The sequence below is a fragment of the Homo sapiens genome, chromosome 21 (genome assembly GCF_000001405.40).
Source record: "Homo sapiens chromosome 21, GRCh38.p14 Primary Assembly".
NCBI lineage: Eukaryota > Metazoa > Chordata > Mammalia > Primates > Hominidae > Homo > Homo sapiens.
In genome coordinates, this window is record NC_000021.9 from 13820896 (window position 1) to 13835769 (window position 14874).

The 14874-nt window shown below is 39.7% G+C and overlaps 2 pseudogenes; one reads left to right on the plus strand and one right to left on the minus strand.

Moving 5' to 3' along the window:
* Positions 1 to 2575: 2575 nt before the first annotated feature.
* Positions 2576 to 4805, minus strand: GXYLT1P2 (GXYLT1 pseudogene 2; annotated as a pseudogene).
* Positions 5756 to 6929, plus strand: CNN2P7 (calponin 2 pseudogene 7; annotated as a pseudogene).
* The last annotated feature ends 7945 nt before the right edge of the window (positions 6930 to 14874 follow it).

Here is a 14874-nt window from a genome sequence, read left to right on the forward strand (position 1 = left end):
GCTGTAAATATAAAACCAGCTAAGAAATGTAAAATACTCAACAGTGTCTGACACAAAATAAACACCCAATTAATGGTAGCAGCAAGAAAAGAGCTCTCTTCAACCAACATCTTACCTTCAGAAATTGGTTAAGAAGAAATGAGTGCTTGGGAACCTTCCTGTTAGAGCTGGGGAACACAAATAACCCCAAGATATGACCCAACTGGGAAATGAGGCACCAGAGTCAGCAGGTCTCAGGACTCGAGAACATGTCATAGATCTGGGGCCAAGGGGACTTCCCAATACCCCAGTCCTGAATTAGCCAGATGTGCCTTTCAGTCCTTGGCTGAGCTGGACTGAGGCCTCCTCCAAAGGGAGAAATAAATGTGCATCCTGAAGAGAGCTGACTCTGAAAGAGAGAGAAACCCACAGAGGCTGAGTTTCACCAGCACAACTACTTCCAAGCACATTCCTCAGGTAAGTCATTTCTCTTCCCAAGGGGAGGATTGAATGAGTTTATGGTGAGAGGCTGAAAGCTTTTCTCCTTTATTTTCCCTCATGGGAGAGGAGTGGAAGTACTATGTTCTCTGTGGGAATCTGCAGACTATGGACGTTTCCCCCAACAGTTGGCATTGACTGATTTATCTGCATGTCTCTCTATCCACATCTTCTATATGAAGAATCTAAGTGGGAATAGCCTCCAAAGTACTCTGATAGTACCAAAGCACTATTCTAGTTTTGTATAATTTTTAAGTCTCTTCTTTAAATTTTTTTTTTGCAGACTCCATCCTAGACACAGCATACCAGAGTCTCCAAAGGGCTAAGCTCAAGAATCTATTCTGAAGCTCCCAACAGGAGTCTTATATAGCCAGGCAGGCAATGATCATATTTGGGGACCATTAGAAATAATCGAATGCATATACTCTGAACTTCAAATTTTTAATATTCTCGTTTTCTGCTCAGTAAGCTCAATTTCAATGCAGTTCACAGTTTCTCATATCCACCATGGCATTCTGCCAAGGAACTACAACTTGTATTCTCTAAACCCAACTGTTCTAAGAATGCTGGGCTGCTTATCAACTTCTAATGTACCTTGCTTAAACTTTCCTCTCTCGATGTGTCCCTGACTGAACTGCAGAAGACAGAACAACTGTACTAGCCATCTCTTTCTGCATATCCCATGTCTCCACAGAGGCCACGGTGTCTTCACAAAGCTAACTGCAACGATTTTCGCAGGTGATATTTTCCCTTCATGATTTTCCATTTTCTACTTGAGCATTAAAATATCAGGAAGAAAAAGAAGATATAACCATATAGCAGTTGGTAAAATAAGATATCTGCCCCAGCACAGCCCATACTAAGTATTCAGAATTTACAGTTATATTAGATAACTACAAATTAGATAACTATTAACATAGTTATATTAGATAAGTAATATTTTCTCATCTTCAAGAACTAAAAAATTAACTTTTAAGTGATATTCAAAAAAGGAAGATACTCACTCACATCAACCCAATTAAAACCACATTTTCTATAGCTGGATGTAACAATCTTAATCCAAATCATTCACAAAAGTTGTTTAACATTCTTTTTTTTTTAAATTATACTTTAAGTTTTAGGGTACATGTGCACAATGTGCAGGTTAGTTACATATGTATACATGTGCCATGCTGGTGTGCTGCACCCATTAACTCGTCATTTAGCATTAGGTATATCTCCTAATGCTATCCCTCCCTGCTCCCCCCACCCCACAACAGTCCCCAGAGTGTGATGTTCCCCTTCCTGTGTCCATGTGTTCTCATTGTTCAATTCCCATCTGTGAGTGAGAACATGCGGTGTTTGGTTTTTTGTCCTTGTGATAGTTTACTGAGAATGATGATTTCCAATTTCATCCATGTCCCTACAAAGGACATGAACTTATCATTTTTTATGGCTGCATGGTATTCCATGGTGTATATGGGCCACATTTTCTTAATCCAGTCTATCATTGTTGGACATTTGGGTTGGTTCCAAGTCTTTGCTACTGTGAATAGTGTCACAATAAACATACGTGTGCATGTGTCTTTATAACAGCATGATTTATAGTCCCTTGGGTATATACCCAGTAATGGGATGGCTGGGTCAAATGGTATTTCTAGTTCTAGATCCCTGAGGAATCGCCACACTGACTTCCACAATGGTTGAACTAGTTTACAGTCCCACCAACAGTGTAAAAGTGTTCCTATTTCTCCACATCCTCTCCTGCACCTGTTGTTTCCTGACTTTTTAATGATTGCCATTCTAACTGGTGTGAGATGGTATCTCATTGTGGTTTTGATTTGCGTTTCTGTGATGGCCAGTGATGATGAGCATTTTTTCATGTGTCTTTTGTCTGCATAAATGTCTTCTTTTGAGAAGTGTCTGTTCATATCCTTTGCCCACTTTTTGATGGGGTTGTTTGTTTTTTTCTTGTAAATTTGTTTGAGTTCATTGTTAACTTTCTTAAAGTAAGGCTCTAGACATTTGCTTCTTTACAAGTATCTTGCAAAGCCATTATGAGGTAGAAGAAAAGTTTAAATGCACCACATTTTTCTACTCCATCGTAACTAAAATTACTACTCACAGGATGTGTATAGCTTCTGAATTTTGGTCCATCACATTTTCCACCATCAAATGAGTATACCCTTAAGGTTCTCACTTTATCATCAGCATAATATATTTTGCTTCCAGAATACCCAGTAAAGCTGAAATTTTTTCATTTAAAGTGATAAAAAAAATTCCCCAAATATCTACTTAACAATCTTAGATCTGAGTTTTGGCAAGACAGTTTAATGCATACACAATGAAAACACTACATTTCTCACTCTCTCTCACACATGCACAGATTAAAACCCCAAAGTTTTCACTATATTTCCTCTTTCTTATACAGTTCAATTTTTAACATGCAGCTTACTTATAATCTAAAAACAATTTTAAACATGATTGTCATAAAAATATTTTAAAACAGACATGAAATGTATAAAGGCAGACATAGATCATCCATGGTTACATCTGTTACATTTCTTTAGAAACAGAACTGTTTCTTCTCCTGTAAACAAACTTTTTTTTTCACACATTTAAAGCGAGGTCAGTGCTGACATAAAATTATCGCTCTACTCACAGCCTTGTCTAGAGCCTTACTTTAAGAAAGTTAAAGTTTGCACTGTGCTTGAGATACATTTTCTTCATCTTCACAGCCCCAGCACTCTTACTTGAGAGTATGAGTCAACAGAAGTTTGCAGGCTAAAACCATTCAATAATATTTTCACCAATACTGGAATGGTAGTAAGTAACATTACAAAACATCAGAGGCCAAAAATGTTTCTTTGTTGGAGCCCAAGATTTTAATTTATTCTTCATTACCTGAAAATACTGCTCATTTAACCTCTTTGGGAAAAAAAATATTCCAGAGATGAATAATTCCTTCATTAATGCTTCACCCAAGATGATTCCTTCACACTTATCCTCCAATGCTTTGCTGTTTTCATCCTTTGATGTAGCAGGCACCAAGAATCACCTTTCCTTTGGTCATCTGGCATAATGATCTCTTATGGTTTTTGCTAGTTGTTTGACAAATATTTTGTAAATTTTTCCACGGTATGTATGCACTGTTTTTTGTAGTTCCAGTTCTAAAGGTTTTATTAGGGAATGAATGTTGTCATCTTAAAAGAACAATTTCTCAGTGCTTCATAAACAGCTCTAAATGCTGGTTGCTTATCATCATGGTAAACACCTCTGTTCCCTGAAGAATCAAGATTCCTTCTTCTGCTTCTTGGCAACTGCTTCCATATAGACAATGATCTGGATGATAATTCCATTGACACGGAAAGGCAAAAAGACTTTCTGGATTATGAAAAAACATGATATCCAACAAATCTTGATTGCCCATGTAAATCTTGATTGCCTATGTAATGTTTAGTTTGTATTCTTTAAGCCATGTCATAAGTATATCTCTTCATTGTAGTCACACAGTTTGTCATATCATTCTTGAAATACTTCCTTCTCATTCGAGTCATATTCATCAACATAATTCCAGGGTTTACTCCAGTTTTTCCACAGTATGGTTGCCTAGCAAAGCGACTATACCATCTTATTTGAGGTTCCTTGTGTTCTGAGGCCACTGGAGCAATTTATGTGGAATTAAATTTCTTTAGTAAAGAACAAATATGATCAACTGGTCGTAAAAAAGGCTATTAGTGTGGGAGTCAACTTCTTTCAGGAATAACGGCAAGAACAATCTCTGCGGACCACATGGTTTAAAGAGTTTTTCCATGCTGCTGCATTCTCACTTGGAAAGGTTATGGGGTATATTGTATAATTAAATATTTGCAGAAATGACCCCTGTCACGTCTTCCTTTAAAGCTATAATGTAGCTGATCTTCAGCAAAAACCTGGAATTGAAGAGCTTTGATCCTGAAAAATGATAGCTGACTTCAACGTGGTCATAGTTTCTTCCAGTCTTTCATCACAGGCAACTACAGCTAGATGCATTTTCTCAACAGGCTGTATTTTCAGACGACACCTGTCCCACCCACCAGGATGCACAGCAGGACCAGCGCTGCCCGCGCCTCTCACGGCACCGCATCCGCCTCCTGCCAGCCAGGAAGCCACTGAGGCCTGCTGCTTCCCGCCACCACCGCCTGCTGCTTCCTCCAGGGACATGGGGAGCTGGCTGAAGGCGTAAAGGAGCGAGCAGAAGCCGCAGGCCAGACACAGCGCCACCACGTGCGGGTAGCGCCGCATCGCCCCAGCCGTGTTCCTTGGTCTCCGTCTCCGCCGCGCCCGCCTGGTGAACTGGAGCACAGGGACCATAGTTCTGGAAATTTATCCTTTTTCTCTCCATGGATTCAGCAGCAGTGTCTAAAAGAAAAAAATTCATCAATCATTTATGTATATTTTAATATAAAGGTAAAACACTGCGAACCAGTGGAACCGGATAGAAAGTAATTCAGTTTTACAGAACACAACTGTTTTTCAGGCTCTTTTATTAAATATAAAAGAGCCATATATATTTCTGTGGAATTCCCCTTTTACTTAAGAATTCATTATCAGCGAATTAGTTTAAGGAGGCTGTTTTGTTAGAGGCTGTGGTTGCATTCAAAAATTGGAATAGGAACAATGACTTGTAAAAATTCAACATTTTATTTTATTTTTGAGATGGAGTCTCGCTCTGTCGCCCAGGCTGTAGTGCAGTGGCGCGATCTCGGCTCACTGCAACCTCAGCCTCCCGGGTTTAAGGAATTCTCTGCTTCAGCCTCCTGAATAGCTGGGATTACAGGCGCATGCCACCAAGCCCAGCTAATTTTTTTTGTATTTTTAGTAGAGACGAAGTTTCACCACCTTGGCCAGGCTGGTCTTGAGCTCCTGACCTCGTGATCAGCCCACCTCAGCCTTCAAAAGTGCTGGGATTATAGGCGTGAGCCGCCGCGCCCGGCCGGAAGTTCTTTCTTCTTAAAAGGATTATAAATGTAATTCCCACTGGCATGACACTTTTACTAATATAGGTTGACTTTTTGCTTCAAATAACCCATTCGTACATCTAAATTAATTTCGCTCAGTATGTGTGTGTGCATGTGTGTGTGTGGATGTGTGTGTGTGTGTGTGGATGTGTGGATGTAAATCACAGTAAAGGGTAAAGGGAAGGTGGAAAAAAGGGAGATGGTCTAACATTTTTCACACATTTTTTAAATACACAAAAGATATGTAGTAAAAACAATGGTGTGGCGAAAACAAAATCTTGCAAACTAGAAAAAAGACAGTCCCCGGTCCCGTGTGGTCCCGTCCCGCCACGGGGCCAGCCAGCTGTAAGCTCCACGCAGTTCAACAAAGGCCCCTCCTACAGGCTCTTGGCGGACGTCCAGAACCGGTTCCTGTCCAAATATGACTCCCAGAAGGAGGTAGAGCTCCGCAGCTGGATCTAGGGACTCACTGGCCTCTCCATCGGCCCGACTTCCAGAAGGGCCTGAAGGACGGGATTATCTTATGCACACTCATGAACAAACTGCAGCCGGGCTCAGTACCCAAAAATCAACCGCTTCAGTGTAGAACTGGTACCAGCTAGAAAGCCTCTCCAACCTCCTCAAGGCCATGGTCAGCTACAGCATGAACCCCGTGGACCTATTTGAGACCAACGACCTGTTTGAGAGTGGGAACGTGAGGCAGGTGCAGGTGTCTCTTCTCGCCCTGGCAAGGAAGGCCAAGACTAAGGGGCTGCAGAGCGAGGTGGACATCGGTGAGGAGTACTCAGAGAAGCAGGAGGGGAACTTCGACGATGCCACCATGAAGGCTGGCCAGTGCATCATCCGGCTGCAGATTACCAATAAACGCGCCAGCCAGTCAGGCACGACTGTGTACGGCAGAGCACGAGGAGGCATCTCTACGACCCCAAGAACAACATCCTGCCCCCCATGGACCACTCGACCATCAGCCTCCAGATGGGTACAAGCAAGTGTGCCAGCCAGGTGGGCATGGCGGCTCCTGGGACCCGGTGGCACATCTACGACACGAAGCTGGGAATCACAAGTATGACAACTCTTCCACGACCCTGAAGATGGGCTACACGCTGGGCACCAACCAGAGCAGCCAGGTCTTCAGCCTGGGCCGACAGATATACGACCCCAAGTACTGCCTGGGAGCACAGTGGCCCACGGGGCTCCCTCAGGTGCAGGCGACTGCCCGGGGCCAGTGGAGGCCCCTGAATATCTCCCTTACTACCAAGAGGAGACCAGCTACTGAGGCTCCCAGCACGCTCTCTCCCCACATGGTCTCCCTGTCTGGGTGTTTGGGTTTTTCTGTGTTTTCATCTTTTTTTTTTTTAACCTGTTCAGTGCTGCCAGTCAACGGAGCGTCTGTGAGTAGCAGCGTGGGATCAGGCAGCAGGGTTTTTTTTCCCCGTTGCTTTCGTTCCTTTGCAGGACTGAGCCACCGGGCTGTGGGGGAAGGGATCAAGGCCATATCCCGATGCGTGTCGGGTGAGGGTCCCCGCTGGCGCGTCCAGGCTGTGGGCCTAGCTGTGCTGGGGAGACGAGACCTGGGCATGGAGGGAACCGGTCCCCGAAGGTTTCCCGTTGCCTCGCCTCTTCCCCCTTTTGTCAGCCGATCAGTTTGTGGTTTCTGTACCCGCAAAAGTTTCAAGAAGTATTAACAAAAGAAAAAAATTTTTTTTCCCCCAGGAATGGGGCAGGGACAGTGGGTGCTGGGAAATCAGTCCCTTGGGACAGGGGGCCAGGCCAGGATGCTAAAATATCTCAGGCTCCTGAGTGGCTGGATTTCCCTAGGACCCTCAGACCAACAGACCTCAGACCCTCAGACCTACGCTGGGGCCCGGTGAGGAAACAGGCCCCTACAAGGTAGTGGAATTCTCCGTTGTTAGTGTTAAGCCTGACCCCTCTCCATACTAGTCCCCTTACCCCCGTGGCCCTCAGTAGGGTTTTTTTGTTTGTTTTTGTTTTTGTTTTTTTGAGATGGAGTCTCACTTTGTCTCTCAGGCTGAAGCACAGTGGAGTAATCTCGCCTCACTGCACCAGCCTCCCATGCTCAAGCGATCCTCCTGCCTCAGCCTCCAGAGTAGCTAGGACTACAGGCCTGTGCCACCACACCTGGCTAATTTTTTGTATTTTTAGTAGAGACAGGATTTCACCATGTTGGCCAGGTTGATCTGGAACTCTTGACCTCATGTGATCTGCCTGTCTCGTCCTCCCAAAGTGTTGGGATGGCAGGTGTGAGCCACCACGCCCAGCCCCTCAGTAGGTTTTAAGGAGCCCCAGCCCTCCTTCTCCCCTTCTGGGCCTGACCAGGTCTACTGCTGTATCTCCCCCAACCACACGCCCTGCCAAGTACTGCACAGGGCCCCCCACCCAGGGACCCCGGATCATGAGATAATGTGAAATACCGACTGTGGACCAAACACAATAAAACCTCTGTTTTTAAGAAGAAAATGAAAAGACTTAAAATTGGCATTTTAGGACTTTATATATATTATTAAATATATATTAAATATAAATGTTATACAATTTAGCGCCTTTATCTCCCAGTCTCTGGGAGAGGTTAGGAACTTAACTTTCTTAAGCCTCAATTAGTAAATACATCTGGCCTAGCCACATTGATCAACCTCTCTCCTAACATCATCCTGTAAATTTCAGAAGCTCATGCAAAACTCTCCCACCTTTTGTTACAACAGATATGTCAACTGATACAATTATACAACAATTGTATAAGATAATATTAGATTTAATCTCACAATCACACTCAGCTGGATTACTAACCCTTCTCCTACATCTTGCTCACCTAAATTTATCTACATTTTCTATGAATTGAATAGCTTAGAAATGTATGTCATCTGTGTATTATAGTGTAAGTTATTGTAATACAGAAATATGGACTTTCTTTAACTCCCTTTTGCTGCCTAGGAAATACCAATTTTTTTGAGCATGGCAAGTGTTTCCAAGCATTCAGAAGTGCAGAATGAGGTCTGCTTGTCATCCTCTCAGTCTCAGCTCCTCTCCCTCCTTCATCTCTCTGTTTCATTGATGAGTATAGAAGATCAGTGATTTTTATATGAAATGAAAACTGATGGAACTAAGGTGTTGATTTGATTATCCAACCGACCATTTATTGAGTGTCCATTACAAGTTAAATTGTGTTCTGGAGAACAGCTCAGGAAATGAATGCTTGACATTGATGTACATAATAGAAATACAAACATACCATTAAAAAATCAGACCTCTTATGACAATCCAGATTCTCAAGTAAGTTTTGTGAAGCTCTTTCAAGATGAGAATGTAAAATTTCAAAAAAAAAAATCATTTTAACAAGTCCTTCTTGAGACAGAAAAGTGGAATTAGAAGATCATATATGGTTGTTTCACTAGCTCAAATCTTAAGTACAGTTTTTAGTCAATTGACAGCCATATAATTCTTAGTTTTGTATACTGATATTCATTAGAAATTATAAACTTTAAAAAATATTCCTGTCTCATTCTACTAATCAATTTAAAATTTTCATTCATTTGGTTATATTTCTTCATTTTACCTGGTCTTTAATACTTCTTTCCTGCCCAGCATTAAACTTAATTAATGTCTAATTTGCTTACTTGGTTTAGTTACTTTTGGCCATGTTCAATACACTTCTTATGAAGCAGGCATGTAGGAGTGTTTACAAGTTTATGGTTCTCAGTCTTCCAAATCCCTGATGGCAGCACCCCAACAGACACACACCACAATATAAACACATACACACACACCCGTGCACACTCATACTCACCCACCTACATGCAGACACACACACACACCCATACTCACCCACCTACACACAGAAACACACCCACACACACACTTCAGTGGATAAACACAGAAAACACTCTACAGGCAAAGACATCATACATCAGGGATCTCTTAATGCACTACACACTTCTGTAAATTATCAGGACTGCTCAACTGAGGTGAGTCTACAGAGATTTCAAAGGCTATTTGAGTGCTAAGCTATCTAACTAGTGGTTGGAGACTATTTAAATAGTGCATTAAACACAACTCTTGAGGCTCTGAAGAATTTCTGTGCTTTCCAATGAACCAGGAGTTACAAGGTCCTGAAAACCACAAGCTTGTTATATACTTTAATAGATAAAGCAAAGCTGATATTAATGTGAATATACTTTATATTTACTTCCATTCATGTTAATTTTTCTTTGCCTGTAATATACATTTTTATATAACTGGAAATAAAAAACATCTTAGGAAAAAGAAAACAAAAAATAAAATTTCCCTGATTACACTGTGCCTTGGTTCAGTAACCCTGCACTGCACGTATAGACTATAAATGGGTGTCTTGGGGAGCCACTTTGGTATTTCATTTTAATAGCTCAGCCTGGAGAATATATTTGTGAGTGGATCACATATTACAACTGATTTAAATTTTGACCCATAGAGAAATAAGTTTTCAAAAATATATCTGAAGCCTGGATACTGAAAAATATTTATCATCATAGAATAATAAAAGGCTAGCCATTAGTTACTCAGAAATTGTTCAATAACTCTAAGAAAACTTAGACATAAAGAGTTATGAGTGAGTATAGTTCATCATTAATGTTTGTAAAAATTAATGGTGTCATTTATGTTTGGGAATAAAAAACTAGAAATATAACTTTATTTGATAGAGATAAATGATAGACATAAAGTTTACATAAAGCAAGAGAATAATACTAGGTGTGTAAAAATATTGTTTTATAGATAAGATTTTATGATGAAATTGTGTTGAACAACATGAATCAAACATGTTTTGCATACTACATATGAAGTTACAACATCACAGCCTTTTAAGTATTTCATTAACTTCAAAATGTAACTTATCGCTGAAACAATCTGATTTAATGAATTGGGATAATGGGTAATGATTGGTGTAAGCTGAAAGCAATACTATACTTTTAAAGTTATATCTCTTTGTGTATTAATACAAACACCAGAGAAGATGGTCAATAAATTAATTACTGTACAATGTCTATCATAATACTTAAACCTGGAAGAAAATCATTAAATGCTTAGTGAATAGAATTGGTGAATTGCTTCCATTTTATACAATTTTCTGTTCATTTTAGGGCTTACCAAAACTTACAGCTGTAAGGCCCAATTATTTACTCCTTCAAATAAAGCAAGATTCCAAGAATAAGTGTGAATGTTTTGTTTTGTTTTTCACTGAAATATTCCGGTCTGTAGCTACTCCAAATCACACTAATCTTTCTAGAGTCTGGTATAGGTCCTGGTCTCAAGGCCACTGTTACCACCATCACCATCTTTTGTGCCTCAAGGTTGAGCCGTCCTAACTTACCTGCGTGGAACTGGAAAAGTCCCATTTCATGATACTTTAAGCAACCCAGATGTCTCTTTCACTGAAAGTGGTATTCTTCCTGTGTTTTTTCTTTCCAGCAAGTGATGTCGACCTCTACCTACACCTGACATCTCAGTGTAATTCTTGACATTTTCTTCTTCACATTTCCATTTTCAGTCACCAAGTGTTGTCAGATTTTACCTTCTCTCTTTTTCTTGAATGAATTTTTCTCTTTCTGTCTTCATTGCCATCATGAATTCCACCCCATCACTCTCTCACCTGGGCTACAGTGAGCACCTCTAAAGTGCTCTCCCTGATTCTCTCTCCAAAAATGTTTCTGTGCTATATCCAAAATGACTTACTTGAAATGTAAATACAATTTACATTGTAAATTGCTTGGCTTAAAAATTCCCAAAGACTTCACATTGGTACTAGGAGTCCAATCAAGAGTCAAAAAATGGGTTCAAGCAGTACAAAATTTGTTTCTTTTCTCTCTCCCCCATCTTGTGGCATGAACATTATTGAGCTAAATGATTCAGATATATTTTTTCTTGCCTTCTGGACTTTGGTCTTCTTATTCATATGCTTTTCCCACTACCATCCCAGATTTACATAATTAGCTCTTACTTTTATTTTAGTTTGCTCTTCATCTTCCCCACCAAGAGAAGCCTTACCTGATATCCCTAAATATGAAAGGCTTTCATAACAGTGCATAGCTTTTCTCTGTTATTTATAATATTGTTTTCAAATTTTTATATTTTTGTTACTATTAATAATAAATAAATCTGAGCATGCTCTTTGATAAGAAGTCTAATAAAATTTTGGTGCAATTAGTAATTCAGTACATAATTGTTTTCTATAAGCCATGATTCTAGAGATTGAGGGGAAAATGCAGCAGTAATCTCTCCCAAGTGGAAGGACAAATAGCCAAGCAATATTGACCTACCCATTCATCTCTCAAAAACAGGGTTAAGATATTGATTCTCCTGTTTTCAGGATGAAGAAGGGACAGGGAGTTTCTTGCTGGTTAGTTTCTCAACTCACTCTTTTTATGGAAAAAGTAATTAATCTGATAAATGACACAGAAGATTTTGATGTTTATTAGCAAGGTGGTGATTCCAAGAAGTTGAAATAAAAAGGCTTCAGAGCCTGTCTCTCTCAATCACTATCTTTGGGTTCTTGAGGCTGCTTGTGCACAAAATAGGAAGCACTTGTGTAAGAGCTGCATAGGCAGGCTCAGTCCAGCTACTGGTTTCATAAATCCAACTTTTCCAAGCATGACAGAATGTCAGAATCCCATGAGCCAAAACTTTTATGATGAGAGAGAAAGAATGATATTTTGCTCCCCAATCTAATTTTCAAATTAAATTTTAAACAAAGTTAATAAAGTTAAATAAATATAACAAAGCTGAATATACACACACATGCATACACCCATGCACATGCACACAAGCTTCTTGCATTTATTTTTTTAATTGTTTAATCATTCATGAGAAATGGTTTGATTTTGTATTTTCTATCTACCAATACTTGCACAAGCTCTGGCTGCAAAACTTTTGTTGGTCAAACATTAGCATTTGGGGAACATGTCCCTGCTGAGAGATAGATCTTGATACAGCCTTAACTACATCATCAGTAGACATGGGACTGTTTTTAACTAGAGGGAGGCAAATGGCTTTCAGATGGTTGTGTAGCTGGTTTTAACAGTAGCCTGCAGTGGCTTTTTGACAGACATGAACCTTACTAGTTATTATTAGGCTTCAGAGCATTAGTATGAGGTTTTAATTTGCTTATGTTAGGCACGAGAAGGTAGCACTATCCTAGATGCCCTAAATATTGTTCCTTGTCACTTTTTTCCCACTGAATTCAGAGGTAATTTGGGGACTGTGTCTAAAATGGTCTTATATTCATGTGCCATAGGTTTCTGAAGCTTCCATTCTGAACATGGTCTCAAGTTGGCTCTTGAGGGCTAATTTCATTACACATGATCATAGGTATAAATTTAAATTTATGGGGGATTGTTTTGTACATCCCACAGAACCTGGATTTACTACAAAGAGACTGTAGAGTTTATCAAAAAGAAGATTAACAGGAATAAGAGTTCTTGCTGTCTAGGGAATATATCATCTTCTTTGGGTAATGCCTATTAATGCTCCTCAAAATAGCTAGAGCATTCAAGGTTTGTAACCAGTTCACAATGACAGAAGTAGCTTCTACTAGAAATTAAATATATTAGTTCTTTCATTGAGTAACTATTGCTACAAGAATATATTTGCTGAATAAACTAACATGCTTATTGACATAATTGATTTGCATACCATGGCAACACTTCATGGACCAAACCCTAAGTCCCATGAAAAATTGAATAGAATTATTTGACAGTTAAGAATCATTGGAAAAGCCTGGCTCTAGGTCTCAGGAAGCAATCTGGTTGATTATGTGTTTTCAGTGTGTAGTCATAATACAACTGTATATCAGTAGTGTACATTAGACACTTTATACACTCTACATATATTTTCTCATTTGATCCTTCAATACATGAATAATATAGGAAATAGACTTGAATTTAACTGCTCCAGTAAGGTCAAAGACCAAAAACCTCATTACAATGCCTACATTAGAGATTCTTCTTCCAATTAAAATAAAGTTACCAAGGGCAATTGCTCCTGCCATAACGAGAAGACATTGGATGAACTTAAAATTTTTTTTTTGTTTAAAGCCATCAAAACACTATGGGCCTAAAGTTACAATGAACTAAATTTCAGAGAAAAATAAGCCTTTCCTAGGTGATCACAGATTAGCAGCGGAGTCCATCTCTGAGGACATTTGCTGGATCTGGGGCCTTGAGTAGGTAGAAGGACAAGCCTACAATGTGGAGAAACACCTGGAACATTGGGAATAAGCAAAATAATCTACAGGGAACTTCAATAGGGGCTGAAAACTAGAAAATCATGTGGTCTCCTAGCTCTTACTTATTTTCACTTAAGAGACAGGGTCTCATTCTGTCACCCAGGCTATGGTGCAGTAGAGTGATCATGGCTCACTGCAGCCTCAAACTCCTCCCTCAGGTGATCCTCCTGCCTCAGCCTCTCCAGTAGATAGAACTACAGGTGCATAGCATCATGCCTAGCTAATTTTTATTTTTTGTGTGTGGACACAAAAACCCACTATGTTGCCCAGGCTGGCCTAGAACTCTTGGCCTCAAGTGTTCTTCCTGCCTTGCCCCCCACCCTCAAGCACTGCTATTACAGGTGTGAGTCACCACATCTGGCCTCCCCTAGCATTTAGATACTAAACTGTTGGAAAAATGAGTAAAAGATAAATATAAGTAGCATTTTGAGTATTTTCTTCCCATACACCCATGGGATTGTTTCGTGTATCTTACTACTTCACATAGGAGACCATTCCTCCATCCAACTATGCAAACTAAGTCTTTAAAATTTGATTTTTGCCCTACAATAAGCTCTATACTAAAGCTCATTACATGTGATTTTGACAGTTTCTGTTTTTATACCACAGTTGCAAAAAATTAATCATATTCTTTACTACATGAGACATTATTATTATTGTTTCCTAAAAGTTTCTTTCTGGTTTTACTTATTCAATTTTTTTATTCTTTATCCCTTGTCACAGACAGGCATGCTAATGTGTTTGATATAAGTTCTTTACTCTTAAAGAATTCTTACAAGATAAGAAGGTTGTTTTCTGAGTGTGTGTATGTGTATATACAAAAGTGTATACATTTTTCTTAAAGAGTATCGTGCCATAAATCTGATTTTATTTCTATTTTTGTCACAGAGCATCACATCCTTCATATATTCCCACACTGCTGTAGGTTATTTTTGGTTGTTTATTCCCCTGCAGCTGCTGCATAGTTTTGGACAAAATGAATCAACCGCATTTTCCCTATCCAGTCTTGCAGTAGAATTCACACTGATATCCTGCTACTGAAATATTCACTTCCTTGTGGTATTCTTATGAAAACACTTTTTGGTCATGTGTCACAATTTGGCAGGGTCTACGTTAGTCTGTTACTATTGCTATGAAGACACACGCGAT